A 26,137-nucleotide genomic window follows, 5' to 3' on the forward strand; every position below is an offset into this window, starting at 1 on the left:
CCCAGCAGCAACTGCTGTTAGTAGAGCTATTAAGAACACAGGCCTGTGATCTCAGCACTTGAGGAAGCCGAGGCAGGAGGATTGCTTGAGCCCAGGAGTTTGAGACCAGCCTGGGCAATATAAGGAGACTCTGTCTCTACTGAACATAAAAATTTTTTAAATGAGCTGGGCATGTTGGCTCACGCTTATAACCCCAGCCCTTTAGGAGGCTGAAGTGGGAGGATCACTGTAGTCCAGGAGTTTGAGGCTATAGTAAGCTAAAATCAAGTCACTGCACTCCAACCAAGGTGACAGAGAACCTGTCTCTCAAAATTAAAAAAAAAAAAAAAGGGTCTGGGCACGGTGGCTCACTCTTGTAATCCCAGCACTTTGGGAGGCTGAGGCAGGTGGATCACCTGAGGTCAGGAGTTCAAGACCAGCCTGGCCAACATGGCGAAACCCTGTCTCTACTAAAAATAACAAAATTAGCTGGGCGTGGTGGCAGGCACCTGTAATCCCAGCAACTCGGGAGGCTGAGGCAGGAGAATCGCTTGAACCCAGGAGGTGGAGGTTGCAGTGAGCCGAGATCGCACCATTGCACTCCAGCCCGGGCAACAAGAGCGAAACTCTGTCTAAAAAACAAAACAAAACAAAAAAGAATGTACACACTCTGGAGTCAGGCTGCCTGGATGGAGCCTCACCTCTACTGTTACCCACTGTGTGACCTTGAGTAAGTGACTCTGAGCCTCATGTTCTCCCCTGTAATATAGGGGTAATAATAACACAACCTTCTTCCAAGGATGGTTGTGAGTATTCATCAAGATTGTGCTGAACCCAGGGTACAACTCATGGCAATGACCAACAAACAGGGTCTCTTTCTATGCACACAGAAACGTCTCTCCTTACACAGTTTGTTTCTTTATTCACTGAGAAGACATGGATGTGCGCAGATATATCTTATTTTTTCTTAGAGCTGCTAGAACATTTATTTAGCAGATACTTTCTTGTGAGTGGCAGCAGTCTTCAACAGTCTAGGTATCCATTGTGAACAAGGTGAGAGCCCTGTACCCATAGAGTTCATATATTCATCAGCAAGACATAATAAAGCAATCAGTGGGTCGGGCCTAGTGGCTCACACCTGTAATGCCAACACTTTGGGAGGCCGAGGTGGGAGGATCGCTTGAGCCCAGGAGTTCAAGACTAGCCTGGGCAACATGGTGAAACCCCCTCTCTACAAAAAATAACAAAAATTAACCAGGCATGGTGATGTGCGCCTGTAGTCCCAGCTACTTGGGAGGCTAAGGTGGGGGAATCACTTGAGCCCCGGAGGTCCAGGCTGCAGTGAGCCATGATTGCACCACTTCACTCCAGCCCGAACAGTGGAGTGAGACCCTGTCTTGAAAAAAGAAAAACAGCAGTCATGCTTACTGCTCTGTAAGCAATAAAAGTAGATTGAAGTAGGGGCCCCCTGATCTGGGTGGTCAGGGAAGACCTCCCTGGGGAAGCCTGCCTTGAGAATAGCTAGAGCCACACGTGCAAAGGCCCCAGGGCAAGCATGAAATTGGAAGGTCAAGGCAGCCAGTGTGGCGGGAGCATTTGGGTGATGGGGGAAGATGATGAGGCCCAAGATATGTTGAAGAACTTTAAGCTGGAAAGCAGCTGGAGGTGATCCCTGTTTGATGTAATCCTTCTGGCTGTGGGTGGAGAATAGAATGTAGGAAGGCAAAGGTGGCCTGGGGAGGCCAGAGAGGGATCTCATGAAGTTGTTAGGATGAAAGATGATGGTGGTGGCTTGGCCTGGGAGGGAGAAAGAAAGGAAATGAATTCAGGATGTATTTTGGAGGTAGTGGCAACAGAGTTTGCTGATGGCCTTGCTGTGGAGGATGAGGGAAGGAGGGACAGGAAGGATTCTCCCATGTGTCTGCATCATTGCTGGATCCCTGCTGACAGACACACAGGTTGTCTCCTGTGTCTCCCAACATGCATGAATGCACATCCTTGCTGGGCTGTGTCTTTTTTTTTTTTTTTGAGACAGGGTCTTGCTCTGTCACCCAGGCTGGAGTGCAGTGATGTGATCTCGGCTTGCTGCAGCCTCGACCTTCCCGGCTCCTGGCTCAAGCACCCTCAGCCTCCTGGATAGCTGGGACCACAGGTGCATGCCCCCATGTCCAGCTGATATTTTTTTTTTGGTAGAGATGGGGGTCTCACTATGTTGCCCAGGCTGATTTCGAACTCCTGACCTCAAGCGTTCCTCCCACCTCAGTGTCCCAAAGCCCTGGGATTACAGGTGTGAGCTACCGTGAGTCTTAAGGGATGAAGGGCAAGGGCATTTCAGGTGGAGGGAAGCATCTAAGTAAAGGCTGGGGCCCTGTTCTGGTGCTGTACAGGGAACCTCCCCTGCTCCCAGCCCAGCTCAGGCCAGAGTGTGGGGTGAGGGGCAGAACTGTCTCCTGGGCTGTGGAACAGCAGCATCCAACCTCAATCCACTACCCGAAGCATGTGGAGTTGCTGCCCATTTTGAGATTCTTTCATGTCCTCCATCCCCCGTCTTCTCCAGAGCTGCTTTCTCATCTGGCCAAGTCCATTCCCCCCACCCCCCATCCTCTCTCCTCCCCAGGTGAGTCCAGAGTTTCAGCTAATGTTGCAGCGGCAGATGCATCACATTGGATATCCTGCCATTCTCGGGCCCTTGCTGTCTGCATTTAGGTCAGCTTTGTTTTCCTGGGGATTGAAAGCAGTGGCTGGTGTGGCCTTTGGTTCTGGGCCAGCCTCACAAGGAGGCTGGACCTGCAGGAAGTAAACGAGAGGCCTCTTGTTTGTATGAACTTGATTCTTCTACCATCTTTGTCCCCTGTTCCCTTCTGTGTCTTGTTTCTGGCCTTGTTCTTGAGAGTGCAGGTCCCACAGGCAGTGGCCAGTGCTGCAGGCCTCCTTTACCCTTTCTGAGGGGCTTTGGGCATCTGGGGGACTCTAGTCCACTCAGCCAGTGAGGGCAGCTTGGTCAGTGTGAGTTTAAAACAGCATGACCTCTGAGCTCCCGTTGCCTCCTGCTCCGAGTTTCTCTCTGGCGCTGCTAGCAGGTGCTGGGCCAGGCCACTTGTCCAAATTAGCATCTCTGAGAGTTTGCCTTCTGCCTACCCAAGGGCTGTAGAATAGGTGTCACAGATTACAAGAAGGTAAAAGTTGACACATTTCAGCTCGTACCAGGTCCAAAAAGCAAAGAACGACCTGAAGGAGAAAAATATAGAGGATTAATGAGCTCAACTGAGTACCCTCCCAAGTTGCTGGAGGACATGTGAATCACTGCAGCCTTTTTAGAGCATGGGCTGAAAAAAAAAAGTTTTATGAGCCAGTACATGCGTGTGATAAAACATTCAAATGGTACAAAGAAGGTATACAATAGTCTTCTTCCCCTACTTACGATCTCCCAGTCCCCTCCTGTGAGGACACCCATGTCACACATGTTCTTCCAGAGATGAGATGCTCAATACAAAAACAAGCATGTATTATATGTGCAGTTCTGCACCTTCACCTGGAAACCATTCCGAAATGTAACCATGTAATTTTTCATAAACAGCCTTTGACCCAGCACTGCAACTCCTGAGAATCTACCATGCAGAAGAAAAAAACAAATAGCCTGAGTAGAAAAGGATATTTATTGCAGCATTGTTTGCAGTGGCAAAACAAAAAACCCTGGAAATAAAACAAATGCCCATTTTTCAGGGAATGATTGAATAAAATATGGCACATCTGTACTCTTGGCCTATCAGCTGCTAAGAAGAGTGGGTAGGAGCACTGCTTGCTGGCCTGGAGGCATTTCTGCGATGTATTTAAGGGAAAGCAAGATTCAGAGAAGTAAATTTGATAAGATCCTGTTGATGTAAAATACAGCGACAAAAGTCATTGTCATTTTGTTGGGGACAGTGGGTATCTACTTCATTCTCTTCCACGTCACATGGCCTGCTCAGCCCGGCATTCTGCCTGGGAGACCTTGCCAGGATCCTTACTTGTGGTCAGAGTAAACTTCACCCACTGGTCATTATTAGAGGCCTGTCTGCGAGCATCCTCCACCCAGCCACAGGTGGAGAGCCCATGGCATTCGTGCTGGTAAATGCTCACCTGGGCCTCTGTCAGGCTAGGAGAGACCAGCCTGTTCCTGGGTGCCAGGTGCCATGGTGAGAATCACTTCTCACTGACCATGGCAGGCAATCTGACTGATTTCCCAGTCACTTGGTGGGATGAACTAAGCGGAGTTTGGTGAGCCGTGAAGCGTGCAGCACCACCAAATCTGCCACTCATGAGACCAGCACAGAGGAATTACAGAAATGTTGAAGTCAGGACATCAGATCTCGGGCTGTGTTCCAGCTGAAGGTTCTGGGGGCAGAAAGCACAGGCAACAACTTAATTCACGTCCACCCCAAGCTCAGCACACAGAGCCACCCGATGGAATGCTTCTCACACCACATTCTTTTTTTTTTTTTTTTTTTTTTTTAAATAAGAGGGTCTTGCTCTGTTGCCTAGGCTGGAGTGCAGTGGTACAATCATAGCTCACTTCAGCTTCAACCTCCTGGGCTCAAGCGATCCTCCCCCGGCTAATTTTTTTTTTTTTTTGAGACGGAGCCTTGCTCTGTCGCCCAGGCTGGAGTGCAGTGGCGCAATCTCGGCTCACTGCAAGCTCTGCCTCCCAGGTTCACGCCATTTTCCTGCCTCAGCCTCCCGAGTAGCTGGGACTACAGGTGCCTGCCACCACGCCTGGCTAATTTTTTGTATTTGTAGTAGAGACGGGGTTTCACTGTGTTAGCCAGGATGGTCTCGATCTCCTGACCTCATGATCCACCCACCTCGGCCTCCCAAAGTGCTGGGATTACAGGTGTGAGCCACCGTGCCTGGCAGCCCAGCTAATTTTTAAAGATTTTTGGTTGAGATATGATCTGACTGTGTTGCCCAGTCTGGTCTCAAAACTCCTGGCCTCAAGTGATCCTTCTGCCTCAGCCTCCCAAAGTGCTGGGATTACAGGTGTGAGCCACCACGCCCAGCTCCATGCCAGATTTAAATGCAAGTATCAGATCATTTCACTCATTGGAATCACTAAATGACACAGCCTGCATTTCCTGGCTTATACGTATATATGTCATTCATTCTTACCAGAATAGTGGAAACGCTGCACAAAACCAACTTAAACTGTTTTCATTTCATATTTTGGCATGTGCACATTCTACCAATATTCTACTTTTGACTTACTGATGACGAAGCAATGATAGGGAAAGGAACTGTGGGTTACCGTATCTTTCTCTTGCCTTCCATGTCATTGTTCTGCATACCTAGTTGGCTAATTCAGGGAAGTGTGGCAAGTAAAAAAGAATGTGGCCAGGTACGGTGACTCATGCCTGTAATTCCAGCACTTTGGGAGGCTGAGGCGGGCAGACTGCTTGACCCCAGGAGTTTGAGACCAGCCTGGGAAACATGGCGAAACTCTGTCACTACAAAATATACAAAAACTAGCCAGGGATGGTGGTGTGCACCTGTGGTCCCAGCTACTCAGGTAGCTGTGGTGGGAGGACCACTTGAGCCTGGGAGGTCAAGGTTGCAGTGAGCTGTGATCAGGTCACAGCTCTCCAGCCTGGGTGACAGAGCAAGATCCTGTTAAAAAAAAAAAAAAAAAAAAAAAGAATGTGAGAGGTCTCCATGGTCTTCATGTTTCTTTCTGCATTTCATGTTTCATTGCCTTCTTTCTGCTGTGTTCGAAGCAACTCCTGGCTCTAATGGAGGGGCCTCTGGGGACTGTCAGTGTCCCTGCTTACTCCCTTGTAGTTGTGATAATATGCTTACTTTATACTTTTTGCTTTCAATCTTGCTGAACTTGCATGCATCGTTGGTCCGCCGGAATCTGCGCTCACAGGGGATCAGGAATACTGTATGAGGATGCCATGACTAGGAGTGACAGGCACACACGTGGCTCGGATCTCTTCTGCTCACATGCATGCTCCATTGGCCCTGGACTTCACTTACAAAATACAAGTTCAAAGATAAAATGATTTAGAATTTCAAGATGGCAACAGAGCATTAGACCAAGGGAAGGGCTCACAGCTTCTGGGGTCACACACTCATAAAGCTAGCCCCATCTGGGTTTGTTGCATGAAGTAACAAATACTCAATTGGAGATAGGGTTCTGTTACCACCCCAGTTTTAACTTACCTGACTTGGAGTAATAGCGTTTCATGCTAGGACTTAAAACACTTCTAAGGCCAGCTCTATTTTTAGTGGACTATATATACGAATCAAAACATAGTCAGTATCCTTACCTGTGCCTGTTTTTCTGCCATCCACTGGTGGGTAGTGGTCCATATTGGCAGATGACATCATCAACTACCCATTTATTCAAACCAGAAACATACACACATATAGGTATACATACTGTGAATTCACGTCTTCTTTTTTGAGATGGAGTCTCTGTCGCTGAGGCTAGAGTTCAGTGGCACGGTCTCGGTGCACTGCAACCTCTGCCTCCCAGAGTCAAGCAATTCTCCTGCCTCAGCCTCCCCGGTAACTGGGATTACGGGCACATGCCACCACGCTCAGCTAACTTTTGTATTTTTAGTAGAGATGGGGTTTCACCATGTTGGCCAGGCTGGTCTTGAACTCCTGACCTCAAGTGATCCTCCTGCCTTGTCCTCCCAAAGTGCTGGGAATACAGGTGTGAGCCACCACACCTGGCCTTAAAGTGATTATCGATATATTTGGTTAATACCGGTCATGTTTGTAATTGTTTTCTGCTCCTTACCAGATACTTCTTTTTCTGCCTCCTCTGGCTTTTTTTTTTTTTTTTTTTTTTTTTTTTGAGACTGAGTCTCACTCTGTCACCCAGGCTGGAGTGCAGTGGCGTGATCTCAGCTCACTGCAGCCTCCGGCTCCCGGGTTCAAGCAATTCTCCCACCTCAGCCTCCTGAGTAGCTGAGATTACAGGGGCACACGATCACACCTGGCTAATTTTTCCATTTTTGATAGAGACGGGGTTTCACCATGTTGGCCAGGCTGGTCTTGAACTCCTGACCTCAGGTCATCCACCTGCCTCGGCCTCCCAAAGTGCTGGGATTACAGGTGTGAGCCACCTTGCCCAACTTCGTGTCTTTATTGAAAATACAAAAATAGGCCCTTCAAAGAAATAGAGCAGTGACTTTGTTTATTGAATTCATGTAACAGGCATTTGCGGAACTGTTCTTGATATTGTGTCTTACTCAATTTGAATCCAGCAGAAAATCAGTTTGGAAAAACCGATGAGACCCTCTGAAGGTCATTCTTAAATCTTCCTTTTCTACCACACACCCATGGCCAGTCCACCAGCAAGGCCTGTTTGTTCCTGAGCCTAAACAAATCTTCACCAGAGTTCTCCTTTCCTTCCACTGTCCTCACCCTGGGCCACCACCATATAGCAACAGCTATCTCCTTTTTTTTTTTTTTTTTCTTTTGAGACAGAGTCTTGCTCTGCTGCCCAGGCTGGAATGTGGTGGTGTCATCATAGCTTACTGCAGTCTCGAACTCCTGGGCTCGAGTGATCCTCCAGCCCTCAGCCTCCTGAGTAGCTGGACTACAAGCATGTGCCACATGCCTGGCTGATTTTTTTTATTTTTATTTTCTGTAGAGACAGGGTCTTGCAGTGTTGCCCAGTCTGGCTTTGAATTCCTGGGCTAAAGCAATCCTCCCATCTTGCCTCCCAAAATGCTGGGATTACAGGCATAAACCACCATGCCTGGCCTCTCTCTGCTTCTTTTGAACACTGACAATCTCTGTGAAACAGCCAGAGGGATCTTTCAAAACTGTAAATCAGAACATATCATTCCCCTGCTTCCCATCACACTAAAAAGCATGTGGCTGACTGCGGCCACACAGCGCCTCGAGCACCAGCTATGTCTTGAGGCACACCCTCCCTTGCTGCAGCCATCCAGCCACATGGGCTCCCTGCGTGTTTCTTTGAACAGACTCATGTATCCTTCTCCATCTCCTGGGATTCTCTGATTTTTTTTTTTTCTTAGAGAATTTATTACCAATCTAATCATTCAGTCTGGATAGCCCTTTGAGTGTCTTTTTTTTTTTTTTTTTTTTTTTTTTAGGCAGAGTCTTGCTCTGTCACCCAGGCTGGAGTGCAGTGGTATGATCTCGGCTCATGGTAACCTCCGACTCCCAGGTTCAAGTGATTCTCATGCTGCAGCCTGCAGAGTAGCTGGGATCACAAGCGCGCACCATCACGCCTGGCAAATTTTTGTATTTTTAGTAGAGACGGGGTTTCACCATGTTGGCCAGGCTGGTCTCAAACTCCTGACCTCAGGTGATCTGCCCGCCTCGGCTAGGATTACAGGCGTGAGCCACCACACCCAGCCACGAATTTACTTTCTATCTCTATGGGTTCGCCCATTCTGGACATTTCATGTAAATGGAACTGTATAATCCATGGTCTTTTGTGACCGGCTTTCACTCAACATCATGTTTTCATGGCCCATCCATGTCACGCATGGATTCTTGCTTCATTCCTTTTATGGCTGAATATTCCATTGTATGGAGGTACCACATTTTGTTAATTCTTCAGCTAATGGACATTCTGGGTTATCCTTACTCCCACTTTTCACATAGCTTCCTTCTGCTTTTTCTTTAGTTCTGGGCTTAAATTCATTCTGGTTCTCACCACTGAACTTATATATGTACCTGTTTGCTTACTTCTTTACTCTGGTCCCCTAGTCTGGACGGTACATTTTGTGAGGGCAGGTACATTTTGTTCACCGTACCTAGCATCCTACCCCACACAGTGTCCAGAGTGAGGTAGTGCCCATTATTGAATGAATGACTCAACATCTCATATATTTCTCACTTTACCTCTCCCTAAGGCAAAGTGATCGTAACCCCACTCTGTATCTGGGAAGTTCTAGCTTTCTCCCTGGTGTTGAGGAGAGCAAGGCATCCTAAAGCATGAGGATACTTTAAATAGTGGCAGGTTACTAGAAGGATTTCTTTGGTGTAAAATACTGTCCCATCACTCATCTGCTATGCAAGACTACCGGCTCATTTGAAAAGCCCATTTGGCTGCCAGTAACAGACACCAGAAATAACAGTGGTGTAAACTCAGTGGAAGGCAGTTTCTGTCCTGAGTAAGACATCCAGAGATAGGCAGTCCGTGCCTGGTGTGGCAGCTTCACAGTCATCAAGAAAAGCAGAGTGCTTTGATGCAGGGTCCTTCTGCTCACCATCCCTAGCACAGGGCCTTTGTCCTTAAGGTGGCTTCATGGCCCAGTGTGACTGCTGGAGTCAAGCTAGTGAGTCTGGAGTCCAGGTGGGAATAGGGTGAGGGAGAGGCACAAAAGCATAGTCCAGCTTTGCGTTTCTGCTGAGGAATTTTCCTCAAAGTCCCACAGCTTGTATTTACCTTGCATTGGCCAGGCTGGCTGCAAGGGAGGTTGGGAAATGTAGTCTTAGCTGAGCATCCTGAGAAGGAAGAGAAGAATGGCTGCTGGGTGGGCACTTAGCAACTGGAGTTGATACATTTCCTGCCCACAGTACCCAGGTCCATCATAGCCAGCTTCTGCCCATTGGCCTGGACCTTCAAGCCTTAAGTGACCAGAATCAGAGCACGGACTTTCTGTGTGTGTCTGGTTGACCAGAGGGTGGGATTTTGAGGCTTGTCAAGGAGCATCAGTTCAAGAAACCTACCATATCACCAGCTATAAGAATAATGGTAGCTCTGGCCAGGTGTGGTGGCTCACACCTGTAATCTCAGCATTTTGTGAGGCTGAGGCAGGAGGATTCCCTGAGGTCACAAGTTTGAGACCAGCCTGGGCCACTTAGCAAGACCATATCTGCACAAAACTTTTTTAAAAAGCATTACCCAGGTGTGGTGATGCACACCTGTAGTCCCAGCTACTCAGGAGGCTGAGACGAGAGGATCAACTGAGCCCAGGAGTTCAAGACTGCAGTGAGCTATGACTGCACCACTGCACTCCACCCTGGGCAACAGAGTGAGACCCCGTCTCTCTCTCTCTATATATAAATAAATAGAATAATGGTAGCTCACACTTAATGCATACTTAGTGCATAATAAGTCTTGTTCTAAACAATTTTTGTGGAGTAATTTTTTTACTTAATCCTCACAACACCCTTACTATTATCCCCATTTTGGAGATGAGGAAACTGAGGCACAGAGAGGGTAAGTCACCGTAGACTTTCTCACTGTTAGTAATTTTTTTTTTCCGTTCATTCTTCCCTTTCAATGTGTTATGAATAAGAGGATTACAAAATAAAGCCTGACCTATTTTGGTAGATTGACCACTGTTCTGTCTTCCATCTGATTAGCTGGGGTCTGGAGAGTGCTTTGTGGAAAAGCACCCAACAGTCGAAACCACATTGACAGGCTGTTTTCATAGGCGTTCAGGAAGGGGCTTAACTGTTGGCACATCCAGCAAATGGCTGGTGACAGGAAGAAAAAGGATCCACAGCTATGCAGGATTTCCGCAGCCCCTGAGCCTGGGGCCAGCCGACCACAGTGCCTGTGTGCCAGTGGGCTGGGCCTGGCCTTTAAAATGACAGTCACCCTGGCTGCCCTTAGTAGTGTGTTAAGGAGAAAGAAGCTATTCTCTCTTCAGGTCCCCAAGCATTAATTCGGGCACCAGGTCATCTTTCTAGCTGCCTCTGATCAGCCATGCTCAGTGGAAATCTTTGAGTCCCACAATTCATCTCTGAGTTTTTTTTGTTTTTTTTTTGTTTTTTGAGATGGAGTCTCACTCTGTCGCCCAGGCTGGAGTGCAGTGGCACTATCTTGGCTCACTGCAACCTCTGCCTCCAAGCAATTCTCCTGTCTCAGCCTCCCGAGTAGCTGGGACTACAGGCGTGTGCCACCACACCCAGCTAATTTTTGTATTTTTAGTAGAGACAGGGTTTCGCCATGTTGGCCAGGCTGGTCTCAAACTCTTGACCTCAGGTGATCTGCCTGCCTCAGCCTCCCAAAGTGCTGGGATTACAGGCGTGAGCCACCGTGCCCGGCTTTTAGCTGAGTCTTTCTGAGACCCCTTCAGGTCCATGTTGGTGGCTCTCTGCAGACTCTCCAGGGTGGTGGCACAGCACGTGGCCCCCGGCTGCAGCAGGTGTTTCAGTTAGGAATGATTCAGCCGCAGCTAGCAGAATTCACAAGAGACATTGTCACCTCAACACATAGGCGGTCCTTTGTGTCATATAACAATGTCTGGAGAGAGAGGCTGGCAGGTTCAGTGGCTGACAGGTCAACACCAGCACTGCTCTGACCCTCTTGCCGCCATGGCCTTAAGACAGCTGTTGGACCCAGAGAACTCAGCCCTTCTAGTCTGGGCAGGGTAGTTCTGGGGACAAGGGGACTCTCTCAAATCCAGCTATCACATCTGCATATCTGCATTCCAAGCTGGAGAAAAGGCAGACTGGTGAAGGGGAAAATGACTGTTAGATGAGTCTGATCCTTTTTTTTTTTTTTGGAGACAGAATCTTGCTCTGTCACCCAGGCTGCAATGCAGTGATGCAGTCATGGCTCACTACAGCCTTGATCTCCTGGGCTCAAGTGATCTTCCTGCCTCAGCCTCCCAAGTAGCTGGGGCTACAGGTGCACATCTCCATGCCTGAGTAATTTTTCTATTTTTCTTTAATAGAGATGGGGTCTTGCTGTGTTGCCCAGGCTGGTCTCTAACTCCTGGGCTCAAGCAATCTGCCTGCCTTGGCCTCCCAAAGTACTGGGATTACAGGCGTGAGCCACTGCACCCCGCGTATGAATCCAGTCCTTTTTGTGAGGAGAGGGGAAATGCTTCTCTAGAATTCCTGAATGAGAAACCTTTGCCCTCCCCAAGGTTCTGAAGATACGCACCTGTGCTGTCTTCTAGACATGTTCATATTTTTCCTTTTTCATTTAGGTCTTTGACCCATCTGACATTGATGTCTGTATATGGAAGGAGACAGAGTTCAAGGCTAAGCTCATACTCTTCACTGTTGCATTTAGTAGGCACCATTGTTGGTGGTTCTAGAGCCAGACCCGCTGGGTTCAAATCCCTCCTGGCTGTGCCGTCTACTTGCTGTGTGATCTTGGGCAAGGTACCTCTCTGTACTTGAGTTTTCTGGTCTGTTAAAAATGGAGATCATAGTACAACCTACTTCACAGGTTATTAAGAGGTTTAAATGGATTGGTAGTTAAAGAACAGAAAACAGAGCCGGGAATGGTGGCATGCACCAGTAGTCCCAGCTACTCGGGAGGCTGAGGCGGGAGGATCGCTTGAGCTCAGGAGGTCGAGGCTGCAGTGAGCTATGATTGTGCCACTGCACTCCAGCCTGGGTGACAGAGTGAGACCCTATCTTTAAGAAGAAAAACTGTAATCCCAGCACTTTGGGAGGTCGAGGCAGGCAGATCACGAAGTCAGGAGATTGAGACCATCCTGGCTAACATGGTGAAACCCCGTCTCTACTAAAAATACACAGACACACACAAAAAAATCGGGCGTGGTGGCAGGTGCCTCTAGTCCCAGCTACTCGGGAGGCTGAGGCAGGAGAATTGCCTGAACCTGGGAGGCGGAGCCTGCAGTGAGCCGAGATGGTGCCACTGCACTCCAGCCTGGGTGACAGAGCGAGACTCCATCTCAAGAAAAAAATAAATAAATAAAAAAGAAAAAACAAAACACAACAGAAAACAGTGCCTGGCATGTAGTAAAATCACAACGAAAACCTTGTGCTTCAACCCAGAAAGAATTTGCACAGCCGCACATGGGTCTGGGGGCTCAGCAGGGAGCCCTGGGCCTGTCAGTAGGTGAAGTGAAGTTTGTCACTGAGGTTACCCTCTCTTCATCTTTACAAGAAGTTGCCAGATAGCTCTCCCAAAATGTTTGTTCCCATTTCCACCCCCACCCGCAGTGACTGAGTGTTCCCCTTACTCCACAACTTCAGCACATTTGGTGTTGTCAGCCTGGCATTTCGGCCAATCTGCTGTGTGTGGAATGGCCACACAGCATTTTCTTCCCAGAGCAGCTTATCTGCAGAGGTCTGTCTGTGAGCCCACTCTACCACGGAGTTACTTAGGCTGGGCTGGAGGCAGGACCACCGTGGGGCCCCCAGCACAGTGAAATCCTCATAGCTGTGTGTTCAGAGCACCACACTAGCACGCCTATCTTCTGGAGAGGGTGAGGCGGTGGGGCCGGGGGTCAGGGGGTACAGGAAATGAGAAAGAGACCCTCAAAGTCAGTGACCCAACCTTAGTCGTGTTTGTAGACCGCATCAATCCGCAAAAGAACCAGCGCTAAATCATTATTGTGTGCTATTAATAGAATATAGGTCATAAGAGGAAACATGATTAATTGCAAGATGATCTCAGTGGCTGTTGAGGGCCTAGATTTTCCCAAGGCAAAGTCCTTTCCTCACTTATCAGCTTTTCTTTGTTGGGATGTAGGCTAGAGGCAGCTGAATGAACAGATATTTCCCTAAGTCATTATTTCAAAGACTGGACAGGGATGGGTATAATGGGAATCTTCTCTAAATGAAGGATGATTGAACCACTTTATTAGTAGTTGAGTAATCCCTGATGCCACAGTGATGCTCTGGCGGTCTAGAAAGGAGAGCGAAGCTTACAGCAAAGGCTGCAGTGGGTTTGGTTCTTCCAGACCAGCCACTTACACAGCGGCACAGAAGAGAAAGGCCTGGCTGTCCCCCATCACCACTCAGTCAAGAGAGAGTGCCTGTGGCCAGGCCCTCTTAGAGGCTGGGTAGACACTGCCCAGGGTGTTTATTCTGCTCCAAGACAGAAACAGAAGAGAACCTCCTGCCGTCTTGGGACACAGAGAAAAGAGCTGGTAGGCCTGGGCCCAGCAGGCTAATAATCTGCCCACTTGGAAGCAGATGCCAGCAACAGTTGCAATCTCTGGCCGGTTAGATTGGCCAGCCCTTCTTCCTTGGGGAGGGGGAGGGGGGTGGACGAGGTAAAGGGGAGTGAAGAGGTATGAGCGGATGATCCTTTCCATGTGAATTGAGGTGGAAATACGAGGGTGGGGTAGAAAATCCTGGCCCAGAAGTACAGGTCCAGGAACAAGAAAGGGCAGGTGCTCCAGCCAGCCTTGAGGTCAGGGGAGAAGTGACCTGGCCAGCCCAGCAGAAACAGCTCACCTGGAGCCATGGTGATAATGCCTGCTTCATAGGGTTTCATGAGGGTTGAAATCAAGGTCATTAACATGTAAGTGTTCTGAAATGTCATATGAAAGACTGGTTTTCAGTATGTTGATTATGGTCTTGTGGAACTTTTGACAGACACTTCCTTGTAGGCCTGTTTTATAAAGCAGGAAAAAATGGAGCTGCCGGAGGTGAGATGAGGGTGTGGGGCCTGGAGCCTCGCTTGCAGCCTTCCTTTACCCTCTGCAGTCTCCTCGGAGGACTGTACTCAGGGGAGTTCAAGGTGAAACCTCCTGGGGGTCTCGGGGAGCCCGGCACTGCCCCCCAGCTGGCCCTGGGCCCCAGATAAGTCATTTATGCATTTTGGACCCCAGTTTGCTTTTCCACCAAGTGGACAGACAAGTCAGACTAGATCAAAGCATTCTTCACTTAGTTCCTACGGACAGGGGCTTCAGAATTCTTTGACATCTTTGAGACAGGCAGTATTTTGTGCTTTTTTTCCTGGAGGGACATGACATAGTTTTGTTTCGTCAGCTTCTTAGAAGGGTCATGTTCGCCCAAACATGAAGGAGTGCTGTATTGATTCCTCAGGTCCCTTCCTGTGCTGTTAGTTTGTTGTAAGCGACAGAACCTCCCCAACTCAAATTGACTTAAACTGCAAAGGGAAGTTAATGGTTCAGGGACCTGAAAAATCCCAGAGCTGGCCCAGCTGGAGTCAGTACTCAGGTATTCTCATCAGGAATTTACCCCTCTTTATTTCCAGACTCTGCCTTTCTCAGGTTTAACTTAATTCTCGGCCCCTTCCTCCTGCCCCACCTCTGCTCACCCTCAGGTGGCAAAGAAGTCCTCAGCAGTCCCCCTGCCTTACCACCCATCTGTTTCCGTCAGAAATTGCAGCAAAATGTCCAGGGCCCACTCTGATTGGCCGTGCTTGGCTCACGTGTCTCTCCCAGAGCCAATCCCTATGGCTGAGGGGAGGAGACATTCAGGCCAGGACGCCTTTCCCCCTTACATTATCTCATGGGATTCTGTTCTTGCTGTAAACCTGCAGGAAGTGAAGTGCTCGGCCTGTATGTCACCTGTGTGATGAATGGGTCATGGCCATGAGTGTGCTGGGATTGTGGAGGCAAACTGAAGGTCATCGTCCCTTCCCAGGTGGTAGAAAGTGGGGCCCTGGGATAAGCAGGGTACTGGCTGGATTCCCGGATCTGTAGCCCTCCTTTGCTGCCGTTTCCACGGCCCTTTGGCATCTTCCTCTCTCCTGCATGAGGGACTGCAGGGCGACGGGCATCCGCAGCTCCCTCTAGTCGGCAGGAAGTAGGTTCCTGGCTGAGAGAGACTTGGCACCACGGCACATCGCTGCTGATCAGCCTTTATAGAGCCATATGCATCACTTTAGAGAAAGAAAGGAGAAAAATTAGAGTGGCGGGAAAGCAATTTCCGTTGCAATTTAAAAGGCGGCTATTAAAATTTTATAAGAGCTTTATTGCAGGGGTTTTCTGATCATCCCAGGAATTTTTAAAATGGGAAGTCTAGTGATAAAGGAAAATGTTCTGGGTGCGTCTGGTTCCCTCCTGCCCTGCCAAGCATCTTGAAAACCACCATTGTGAGGGCTTCCTAGACCAGCTTAGCAATAGCAACGGCCCAAGAGGCCATTTCTGAGTGTTTTAAAAGCGTGTTTTTCTGTATTTGCTGTTTCTATGTATAGTGACTGTTTCTAATTTTATTTTGTACTTTGCTAAATGGCCTGGTAGGGAGCTATGGGAATCGTCAAGAACAGCAGTTGCCTCTGCCCTTCTGTGTTAGTTGAGAGTCATTTGGTTGTATGAACAAATAGAAATTCAGGTCAAAAGGAAGTCTAAAAGGAAGTGGATGGACACAGGGCCTGGGAGATTCGGCTTGGAATGGTTTCAGGCAAGGCTGGATCCAGGGCCTGGTGAGGTTGTCAGGACATGTTTCCTTTTACCTCCTGGCTCAGCATTCTTCTGTGCTGATTTTATTCTCAGGTAGGCTCTGAAGCAGCCCCTAGCAGCTCCACTAGTAGATTCAACCAACTTAGCAGCTCCAAGGGAAATAAACCATCTCTTTCCCCCATAGTCCCAGTATATATCATGGGGCTGGTGTTTACTGGCTCTGATCATCCTGGCTTTGGTGGCAGGGTCACCCCGGGCCATCTCTGAAGCTGGGAACAGGGAAGGTGGTGCAGTGGCTTTTTGGCCAGACTTGGATCATATGACCAGTCCCACCTCCACCCACAACCCATGGGTGGGGTGAGTCCCATAGGACTGAGTGGGAAAGATGAGGTTCAAGGGGCTGACTGAGGAAGAGAAATAGATGCAGGGTGGGTCAAAGCAACCGACGCCTGGAACCCCTTCCCATACTAACTTCACGAAGCTGAATCTGCCCCCACACTCCCCAGTTGTTCTTTTCCCTTGGAAGCTGCTCCGCCTTTACCTTCTTTCGGGTCTCGTTGAGGGGTTCTTAATCTCGGGTCCATGGACCTTTGAAGGATGGAAGATTAGTGGGTCACGAGGTTGGCTGGGAAAAACATTACATCTCTATTTTCGCTACCCTGTAACTGAAATTAACATTTTTTTATGCACAGGGCAATAAACCACAATTGGATTAGCAATATCTGTGACTTTGTCACTACTAGAAATCACGGATATTCTCATATCACATTACAGTGTTGCAAATATCACAAAATATCATTTAAACACCTACCTGTTTCTAAATCACTATAGGTATTGGACTCACCACTAGATCTTGTAATATAACAGCATTAATAGGCCAGAAGTGGTGTTTCACACCTGTAATCCCAGCACTTTGGGAGGCCAAGGTGGGCGGATCGCTTGAGGCCAGGAGTTTGAGACCAGCCCAGACAACGTGACGAAACCCCATCTCTACTAAAAATACAAAAATTACCTGGGGTGGTGGTGTGTACCTGTAAACCCAGCTACTCGGGAGGCTGAGGCAGAATTGCTTGAGTCTGGGAGGCAGAGGTTGCAGTGAGCCAAGATGGCGCCACTGTACTCCAGCCTGGGCAGTAGATCAAGACTCCATCTCAAAAAAAAAGAAATTATTCTGAGGAGTCTGCAACTAATTCACCAGGTTGCCAGTAGGAGTCCCTGGCATGAGAAAGGTTAAGAACCCCCTTGGGCTTCTCCAGGAACCCCAGGGGAATGATCATTGAAGTTGTCCTGATTCCTGGACCCTGGGGTGTTAGCTAGCTGCTTGCTAGGCTTCCTTCCTGGGAGATTCCTGGAGGAGCTGACCGGCCTTTGAGGTTGGCGGGGATATTTGGGTAGCATTTGGACATTATGGTATTGGGGAAGTGGAGCAGGGAGGTGTTGCCAGCCCACTGCCTTCATTGACCATTGTGACAGAGTGTGGTCTAGCCAGGTGGTCAGAAACAGACTCTGGGACCAGGTTGCTGGGTTCACATCCTGGCTGTATATAGTACACTTTTTTTTTTTTTTTAAACAGGGTCTTGCTATGTTGCCCAGGCTGGTCTTGAACTTCTGAGCTCAAATGATCCTCCCATCTTAGCCTCCTGAGTAGCTGGGACTATAGGCTTAGTGGGACTATAGACCACTGTGCCTAGCTTAGTATACTTTTGACTGACTGGGCAACCTCAGCTAGTGGGTCCCTTATGAATTCTGTGCCTCAGTTTCCTCATCTGTAACATGAAAGTAATAATAGTATCTTCTTCTTGGGTGATCGGGAGAGTGAAATGAGTCAGCACTTGTCTGCTAGGACAGAGCCGGCACATTGGGAGGGATTGTTATTAGTGAATGGCCATTGCATATAGGACAGCTCTAGACCCTCTCAGCTCTCATCTCCTGACTTAGTGCCCAGCCTCTGCCGGTGCCCAGAATGTGATGCTGAACAATACAGACAGTGCCTTCTCCGCCTGGAGACATTCATTCATCCATGGAATATTCACTTAAATATAAACAAGCATACTAAATATTCAAAGGCATAAATTAATAATATAAAGTTCCAAACCAGGACAAGTATGATTTCTCTGTCATTCCTCTGCTCACAGTTGTCTGAGGAAATGTCCTTAGAATAGCCCTTCATCTGTCCCCCCTGCCACCGCTTGCCCCTCACTCACCCCGTGCCAGCTCCATGGGCCTCCTGACTGCTCCTGAGATGCTCCACATCTGCTCCTGCCCTCTGGAAGGCTCTTTCCCAGGTAGTCACATGATCTGTGGTCTCATGTATTCACATCTCTGTCCCCTCGTCCGGGAGGCCTTCCCCGAGCTCTCCGTTTAAGGTCACAGTCCCATCACTATGGCGTCACCCCGCTAGGTTTCATCAAGGTTCCACTCTGTGACTTTGTATTGTGTATTTGTTTATTGTCCTCCTCCCCTACTAGAATGTCTGCTCTCTGAGGACAGCTACTTTGTCTTGGAGAACCCTGGTTGTATTCCCGGAGCCTGGCACATAGCAGGTGTTCAGTAAATACTTTTTTTTTTTTTTTTTTGAGACAGAGTCTTGCTCCATCACCCAGGCTGGAGTGCAGTGGCACAATCTTGGCTCATTGCAACCTCCACCTCCCGGGTTCAAGTGATTCTCCTGCCTCAGCCTCCCAAGTACCTGGCATGACAGGCGCCCACCACCACGCCCGGCTAATTTTTTGTATTTTTAGTAGAGATGGGGTTTTGCCATGTTGGCCAGGCTGGTCTTGAACTCCTGGCCTCAAGTGATCCGCCTGCCTTGGCCTCCCATAGTGCTGGGATTACACTCAGCCATGTTCAGTAAATACTTGTTGAAAGAGTGAATATGTGACTGACAGCTGGGTATTACTGCAGGAAGGCTTAAGTTGGCCAGAGACCTAACCTCTTCTTTTTCCTCCATGTAGATGCACAGTCTCTGACATCAGCTCTCCTGGGACCCTCCAAGAGCACTAGTGTCTAGAAGGCACTAAGGGTGAGTAAGGCGTGGCTGCTGGTTTGCTTAGAATTTTACAACTCATACACATATTATTTTTTTTAAAATTTTAAAAAAAGAGTATCAAGGGAAAAATGAAAGTTTGCATCGCTGTACTTCTGTCACCCGCAAGCCTAACGTCTACCCCAGAGGTAATTACTGTCAGTCACTGGCTGGGTGCCCTGCCAGACCTTTTCCCATACACAAACATTCCTACATGCACATATACACACTTATTTTGGTTCGTTGTGTGAGAAAAAGGAACCAGGCTATGCAGTGCTTCTTGGCTTGCTTCCACCATCCCCAATAATAGTATGTTTTGAAGATCTTTGCTCATGAGCATACCTCAGCATATCATACATTTCATATACTTTTATTTTTTCTTTACTTTTTAATTCAATTTTTAAACTTTACATAGAGTAAAACCCTCTTTTGGTATATAGTTCTTTGTTTTGTTTTGAGATGGAGTTTCACTTTTGTTGCCCAGGCTGGAGTGCAGTGGCGTGATCTTGGCTCACCGCAACCTCCGCCTCCCGGGTTCAAGCGATTCTCCTGCTTCAGCCTCCGGAGTAGCTGGGATTACTAGGCATGCGCCACCATGACTGGCTAATTTTGTATTTTTAGTAGAGGTGGGGTTTCTCCATGTTGGTCAGGCTGGTTTCGAACTCCCGACCTCAGGTGAACTGCCCACCTCGGCCTCTTTTTTTTTTTTTTTTGAGATGGAGTCTCACTCTGTCACCCAGGCTGGAGTGCAGTGGCGCCATCTCAGCTCACTGCAACCTCCACCTCCCAGGTTCAAGTGATTCTCCGGCCTCAGCCTCCCGAATAGCTGGGATTACAGGCCCCTGACATCATGCCCGGCTGATTTTTGTATTTTTGTAGAGATGAGGTTTCACCATGCTGGCCAGGCTGGTCTTGAACTCCTGACCTCAGGTGATCCATCCGCCTCAGCCTCCCAAAATGCTGGGATTACAGGCATGAACCACCGCACCTGGCCGGTATACAGTTCTTTGAATGGAGACAGATGTAGACAGTTGTGAAACTGCCACCACGATCAAGATTCAGAGCAGCCCCACCGCCCCACTATGTGAATGTACTGGTTTCTCTGTTGGTTAAAAATATGAGCCAGGTGTGGTGGCTCACACCTGTGATCCCAGCACTTTGAGAGGCTGAGGCTCGAGGATCGATTGAGCCCAGGTGCTGGAGACCAGCCTGGGCAACAAAGTGAGACCCTGTCTCTACAAAAAATACAAAAATTAGCTGGGCGTGGTGATGCACACTTGTAGTTCCAGCTACACTGGGGCTAAAGTGGAGGGTCACCTGAACCGGTGGAGGTCAAGGCTGCTGTGAGACCCTGTCTCAAAAAAACCTAAAAATTTAAATAAATAAATAAATACATACATACATACACATGTATGGCATGGGTAATGGGTATTTACACATATTTTATATATATATATGTGGCAAATATATATATATATATATATATATATATGGCAAATACTTACCTGTGCTATATAGGTTTTGAATATGTTATGTTTAGGTTTCTGGGTTGGGTTTGGGTTGGTTTGCTAGTGAACATTCTCTCTTGTTTCTGTGGGTGGGTTCTAAGCAGTGGCATGGGCCCCCAGCTGCATGTCATTTCAGTTTGCAGTGACGCCTTCCTGGACGATTCCCAGCTTTGTTGGGAGGGGCCATTGTCTGATCCTTGAAGAACCAAGAGACCATAACGGTGTGGGAGGTGGAAGGGGGAGGATTGTGGCATTCAGACCCTGGATGCAGGTAGCCGTGTCGGCCAAGCTGCGGGAACTGAGTGGCTGTGGATGGAGTTTCTCTCTCCTGGATGTTTAGTGGGTCTCATCACATTCCCTCATCCTGGCAGTCTTGCCTGGGTACCTGAAGCTTGTGTGTGGGACAGTTGCTAGGGGCCAGATTTCTGTCAAAGGATGCTTCCTGGCACAATTCTTGATTACTTTTATTTTGAAGTGATTTTAGAGTTATAAAAAAGTTGTGAAAATGGTTACAAAGTTCACATGTCTACCCTACATCCAGCTTCCCCCATGTTACCATCTTATACAACCTTAACACAGTGATCAAAACAGGAAATTCACACAACCCAGTACGATTAACTCAATGACAGACATTAATCACATTTCACCAGTTTTTCTGCGGATGTCCTTTTTTCTTCCAAGAGTCTATTCTTGATCCCACATTGCATTTGGTTTTCTTGTCTCCTTAACCTCCTCCGATCTGGAACAATTCCTCCGTCTTTCCTAGCCTTTCATGACCCAGACACTTTGGAAGAGGACTGCTCTGCTATTTTGTTGGGTGTTTCAACTTGGGTTTTTCTGATGTTTTCTCATGACCTGATTGAGGTTATTCATTATTTGGAACAGTGCCACACAGGCAGCATGCCCTTCTCAGTGCGTCATTGTGGGGGTCTGTGACATCAATGCATCATATTTCCGGTAATGTTCACCTAGATCACTTGGTTAAGTTGCTGTGTGCCAGATTTCTCCACAGTAAAGTTACACTTTTCCCTTTGTAATTAATGGCTATCTTGGGGCACTCCAGGCCAGGAGTTTGAAACCAGCTTGTGCAATGAAGTGAGACCCTAGCTCTAAAAAAATAAAATAGAAACAAATTAGCCAGGTGTGGTGGTGCACACCTGTAGTCCCAGCTACTCAGGAGGTTGAGGCAGGAGGATCGCTTGAGCCCAGGATGCGGAGATTGCAGTGAGCTGAGATCGTGCCACTGCACTCCAGTGTGGGTGACAGAGCAAGAGCCTGTCTCTTTAAAACAAAACAAAAATGCTACCTTTGGGGAGAAACTTTGAGGCTATGCTAATATCCCACATCCCGCTTTTCCTCAAACTTCCACCCACTAATTTTACCATCCATTGGTGGCCGGGTCTTGTCTACAGCAGTTACTGCTGTGCTGTTTCCCTGATGGCAGTTTTTGTGTGCCTCTCATTCCATCTACATTTATTAATTGGAACTCTTCTGTAAGGAAGACCTGTCCCTTCCCCCTTATTTCTTTATTTAGTTACTAATTTATATCCTATGGGCTCATAGATACTTGTTTTAATCTAGCACATTCCTTTTTCATGTGATAAAAGCTCCCAAGTTCCAAGTAAATTCCTAGCATTGCCTCTCACACAGCAGGAAGAACGGCACTTTTCCTACGTGGTAACCAGGGCCTTAGGGAACTTGGAAAGAACATGAACAGGTTTCGTTTGTTCATTCATTTATTTTCCTTCACTCAGCAAATATGCATTTGAGCACCTACTATCTGCTTCTAGGCACTAGGGATTCAGGAATGAAAAAACAAACTCCTTACCTTAAGGGAACGGACATCCTACTGGAGAATAAAACAGTAAACAGATAAAAAGTGAATATAGGGCTGGGCATGGTGGCTCACACCTGTAATCCCAACACCTTTGGGAGGCCAAGGTGGGCGGGTCACTTGCGGTCAGGAGTTCAAGACCAGCCTGGCCAACATGGTGGCCGTCTCTACTAAACCCCGTCTCTACTAAAAATACAAAAAAATTAGCCAACCGTGGTGGCACACACCTGTAATCCTAGCTACTTGAGAGGCTGAGGTGGGAGGATCGCTTGAACCCAGAGGCAGAGGTGGCAGTGAGCTGAGGTTGCGCCACTGCACTCCAGCCTGGGCAACAGAGCGAGACTCGGTCTCAAAAAAAAAAAAGAAGTGAATATAGGATAAGTTGGATGTATATAGTGTACATAGGATGTATATAGGAGTATATAGTGATGAATAAAGCAGGGAAGGGGACTGGCCTCACAGGGCAATTTTCGGACAAGGTGGCCAAGGAAGGCCTCTCTGAGGAGGCCCTGAATAGAGGAGGGAGTGAGGCGGTCCCCAGCCTAATTCATCCACAGCCATCCGGGAGATCACAGTCAAATCATCTCCCTTCTGAACACAGTTTCTGTGAAAAGGAAATGTGTTCCCTCTCCAAGGGGCAGCCCTGCTCAGCTGGAGCCAGTCTTATCCCTGAGTATTGCCAGATCTGATGTTCCCCGCAATAGAAAAGGAAAGTGAAAAATTTTTTGCCAGTCCATTGAACCCAAATTATGCAACGTCAGATAATGAATGACTGTGACTATGTTTTGTTTTCATTGTGTTTATTTTTTAAGTTTGCTTTTCTTTGTAGCAAAAGATAGCAATTTTTCATTTTTAGTGGTGATATGGATTCTTTTTAAATATATAAAGCTTGAACATCACTTGAGGGCTGGGTGCAGTGGCTCACTCTATAATCCCAGCTCTTTGGGAGGTCAAGGCAGGAGAATCACTTGAGGCCAAGAGTTTAAGACCAGCCTGGGCAGCAGAGTGAGACTCCATCTCTACAAAAAATGTTTTAAATAGCCAGGCTTGGTGGCATGCACCTGTAGTCCCAGGAACTCGGACGGCTATGGCAGGAGGATCACTTGCGCCCAGGAGGTCGAGGCCATGCTACTGTACTCCAGCCCCGGGCAATAGAGCGAGAGAGATACGTATGTGTGTGTGTGTGTGTGTGTGTGTGCGTGTATGTAAATAATTGTACAGATGGGGAGTAGATACAGCTGAAAAGGAAGGGTGGAACACAGCGACTGGGCTTGGTAAGCACTGTATGGCTCAGCCACCCACTGTTTTTCCTCTGGGTCAGGGGTTCTCAGCAGCGGGCCTGAGCTGAAATTGGCAAACAATTACCATGGGTGTGCGCCTTGAGCCATTTGCATCATGGTATGTGCATTCGGCCAGGAATGTCTTCAAGTTTCAGGAACAGAAACCCCCGCTCACTGCAGCTTGATTGAATGAGGGCTTATTTCTCGCTCACAACAGCACACCTGGAGGTGCTTGGCTGCCAGTGTTAGTTTGGTGGCTGGGCAGTGTCAGGGCAGAGCCGCTTTGATTCTCTTGATCTTTCCCCTCATGGACACATCGCTCCTGCTGCCATGTCGCATAGCCTCCCCTAGCTCCAAGGAAGGTGGCAAATGTTATTTAACTTTTCAGCCTTTCCTGAGGAGGAAGCCAGAGAAAAAATGAATTGAGAGTATCTGTTGGGGTGGCCAGCCAGCACTGCCTGGTTTCATGGGGAAGGAAAAGCAGTAATAATGAACATTAATGGGTGCTGACTCTGTGCCAAGCCCTGCCGTAAGCGCCTCACGTGCATGATCTCATTCAGTTCTTGTAACTACCCTAAGACGTCACTGCTGTGATATCCCCATGGTAATGATGAGGAAACTGAGGCACGAGTGGTGAAGCTGCCTGCCAGGTAGAGGAGCTGGGACAGGGAGGCATGCAGCCTGGGTCCAGGGCCCCTGTTCTTAGCCACTACACTTTGTTGCCTCATAAGAGGTCCGGGGGTGCGGGGGGTGGGGTACAGGGGACCAGGCTGCTCACTGTCTGGCCTGGGTTTAAATTCTTCCAGCAAGGGCAGAGCCCAGCAGTGTGTTTTGCTTTGGGGAAGTTGTGATCATTAAAAAACTGTCTTGTGAATCACATCCGCCCCTGTGTAACTAACTACCTCCCACTGGTTCAGGTCTAGTCCTCGGGAGAGCACCAGCTGCACGTCTTATTCCTGGCAGCCCTGCAGGGACTTACAAGTGGCTGAGGGAACCCCTCTTGGCCTCCCTTTTTCCAAACTATACCTGTGCTTTTAGTTATTCTTCCCAGGATGAGCCTTCTAGCCTTTTCTTTCTCTGGAGGTCTGCTGGTTGATTGCGCACACATTTGATATGCGCCTCCCCTGCCCGTCCCTGTAGAGTAGTGGGGATGCAGTGGTGACTGGACCAGCCTCATGGCTGGGTGGCTCTGCCCTCATGCGGCTCCCCATCCGGTGAGGGAAGCAGACCTTCAGACCCCAGAGTGGTCAGGTCTGTGATCGGGGAAGCCCAGGGGAGTGGGAACCCAGTGGAGGTGCCTAACCCAGCCTAGGGGTCAAAGAGGGCTCCTGGAAGCAGCTTTTGGGCTTTGGAGGTGGAATAGAGATTCATCAAGGAGCCGTTTCTACCATCTTCTCCACCTGCCTTTCTTCAGTGAAACTCTCACGACAGCTCTCCTTTCTGAACTTCTGTTTCCCTCCTCAGTAAAATGAAAGATTCAGACTTGGGTCTCCATCCATCCTTCCAACCAACCATCATTGATTGGGCACCTCCCATGTTCCTGCTCCTCTTGCTGGGCACGAGGCTTACCCTGGTATACAGTATGTTGGGAAGTTCTGCAGGTAAACAACCCAGAGTGATAAGAGTTCTAATAGGGGAAGCCACGGGGCTGTGGGAACCCCAAGAAGGCACCTAACGGTGACTTGGAGTTTGGGGACAGGCTTCTCCAGGGAGATGAAAGCAAAAATGGGTTGACACGGTGGCCAAGAGCACAGCTTTCCGGAATCCAGCTGACCTGGGGTCTAGTCATAGCTGAGCCCGTGACTAGCCCTAAATGGGCAGCTTAACTGTGGGTGCTTCCATTTTCTCCCAAGGTGGTTGTAAGGATTAAGATGGGATTATGAATTTCAAGTACCTAGGACAGTACCTGGCACGAGAAGTCGCATAATAGATGATAATGAGATGATGATGATGAGATGATGGTGGTGGCGGTGGTGGAGGTGGTGATGATGATAATGAGGAGGAGGAGGATGGTGGCAGCTTGCATTCATTAGCCCTTACTGCATGTTGGAGGTTAGGTGGCTTAGTAACAGCCTATAAGATAATAAGCGTGAGCTGCTGCTGTTGTGATTATTCATTCACCAGACATGTGAGGGGTCGCCCTGCACCCAGCCCTGAGCTGGCACAGGCCTAGGTGTAGCAGGACTGTGTTCTGGGAGCAGAGTTCATACAGCGAAAGCCTGGGCCAGGAATTTCATGGGCCAAGTTGGGAGTTTCTTTGGTGTGTGTTGGAGACCCATGGCTCCTGGCCTCCTGGTCCCCTTTCTTGTTCATTCCTGAGACTTTTCAGCACTGGCCTCAAGAGTGTAGGCTGCCCTTGACCTCTGTGGCCAGAACGCATGGATGCTCTGCTCAGCCCATCAGCCAAGCCCCAAATTAGACCTGACAGTGTGATTTATTCTCTGGGATGGAGC

General features: G+C 48.4%; 1 protein-coding gene and 1 long non-coding RNA gene across 9 annotated transcripts in view, besides 3 other annotated features; one reads left to right on the forward strand and one right to left on the reverse strand.

The window, feature by feature from the left end:
- SIPA1L3 (signal induced proliferation associated 1 like 3) overlaps positions 1 to 26,137 on the forward strand; it is a 301,162-nt gene that overhangs the window by 102,890 nt on the left and 172,135 nt on the right. For 7 of the 8 annotated variants that reach the window (XM_047438486.1, NM_015073.3, XM_017026518.3 and 4 more), the window contains one exon: positions 18,992 to 19,059. The gene's annotated coding sequence lies outside the window, so the exon portion shown is untranslated. Of the gene's footprint in view, positions 1 to 15,247; positions 18,323 to 18,991; positions 19,060 to 26,137 lie in introns of those variants that run through there. The other variant, XM_047438488.1, reaches the window with a different exon arrangement.
- Positions 2,528 to 3,100: an enhancer, noted in NCBI's record as "H3K27ac-H3K4me1 hESC enhancer chr19:38503265-38503837 (GRCh37/hg19 assembly coordinates)". NCBI's record gives its function as "activates a minimal SCP1, AML or CMV promoter by ChIP-STARR-seq in naive H9 embryonic stem cells {active_cell/tissue: H9 hESC(naive)}" and the evidence as "EXISTENCE:reporter gene assay evidence [ECO:0000049][PMID:30033119]".
- Positions 14,816 to 15,319: an enhancer, noted in NCBI's record as "H3K27ac-H3K4me1 hESC enhancer chr19:38515553-38516056 (GRCh37/hg19 assembly coordinates)". NCBI's record gives its function as "activates a minimal SCP1, AML or CMV promoter by ChIP-STARR-seq in primed H9 embryonic stem cells {active_cell/tissue: H9 hESC(primed)}" and the evidence as "EXISTENCE:reporter gene assay evidence [ECO:0000049][PMID:30033119]".
- On the reverse strand, positions 14,854 to 16,654 carry LOC105372396 (uncharacterized). Its single transcript, XR_001753934.2, has 2 exons — positions 16,579 to 16,654; positions 14,854 to 15,517 (listed from the first exon to the last, which is right to left on the reverse strand). It is a non-coding gene; the product is annotated as an uncharacterized LOC105372396 (long non-coding RNA).
- Positions 15,320 to 15,823: an enhancer, noted in NCBI's record as "H3K27ac-H3K4me1 hESC enhancer chr19:38516057-38516560 (GRCh37/hg19 assembly coordinates)". NCBI's record gives its function as "activates a minimal SCP1, AML or CMV promoter by ChIP-STARR-seq in primed H9 embryonic stem cells {active_cell/tissue: H9 hESC(primed)}" and the evidence as "EXISTENCE:reporter gene assay evidence [ECO:0000049][PMID:30033119]".

Source organism: Homo sapiens, chromosome 19 (assembly GCF_000001405.40).
Source record: "Homo sapiens chromosome 19, GRCh38.p14 Primary Assembly".
NCBI lineage: Eukaryota > Metazoa > Chordata > Mammalia > Primates > Hominidae > Homo > Homo sapiens.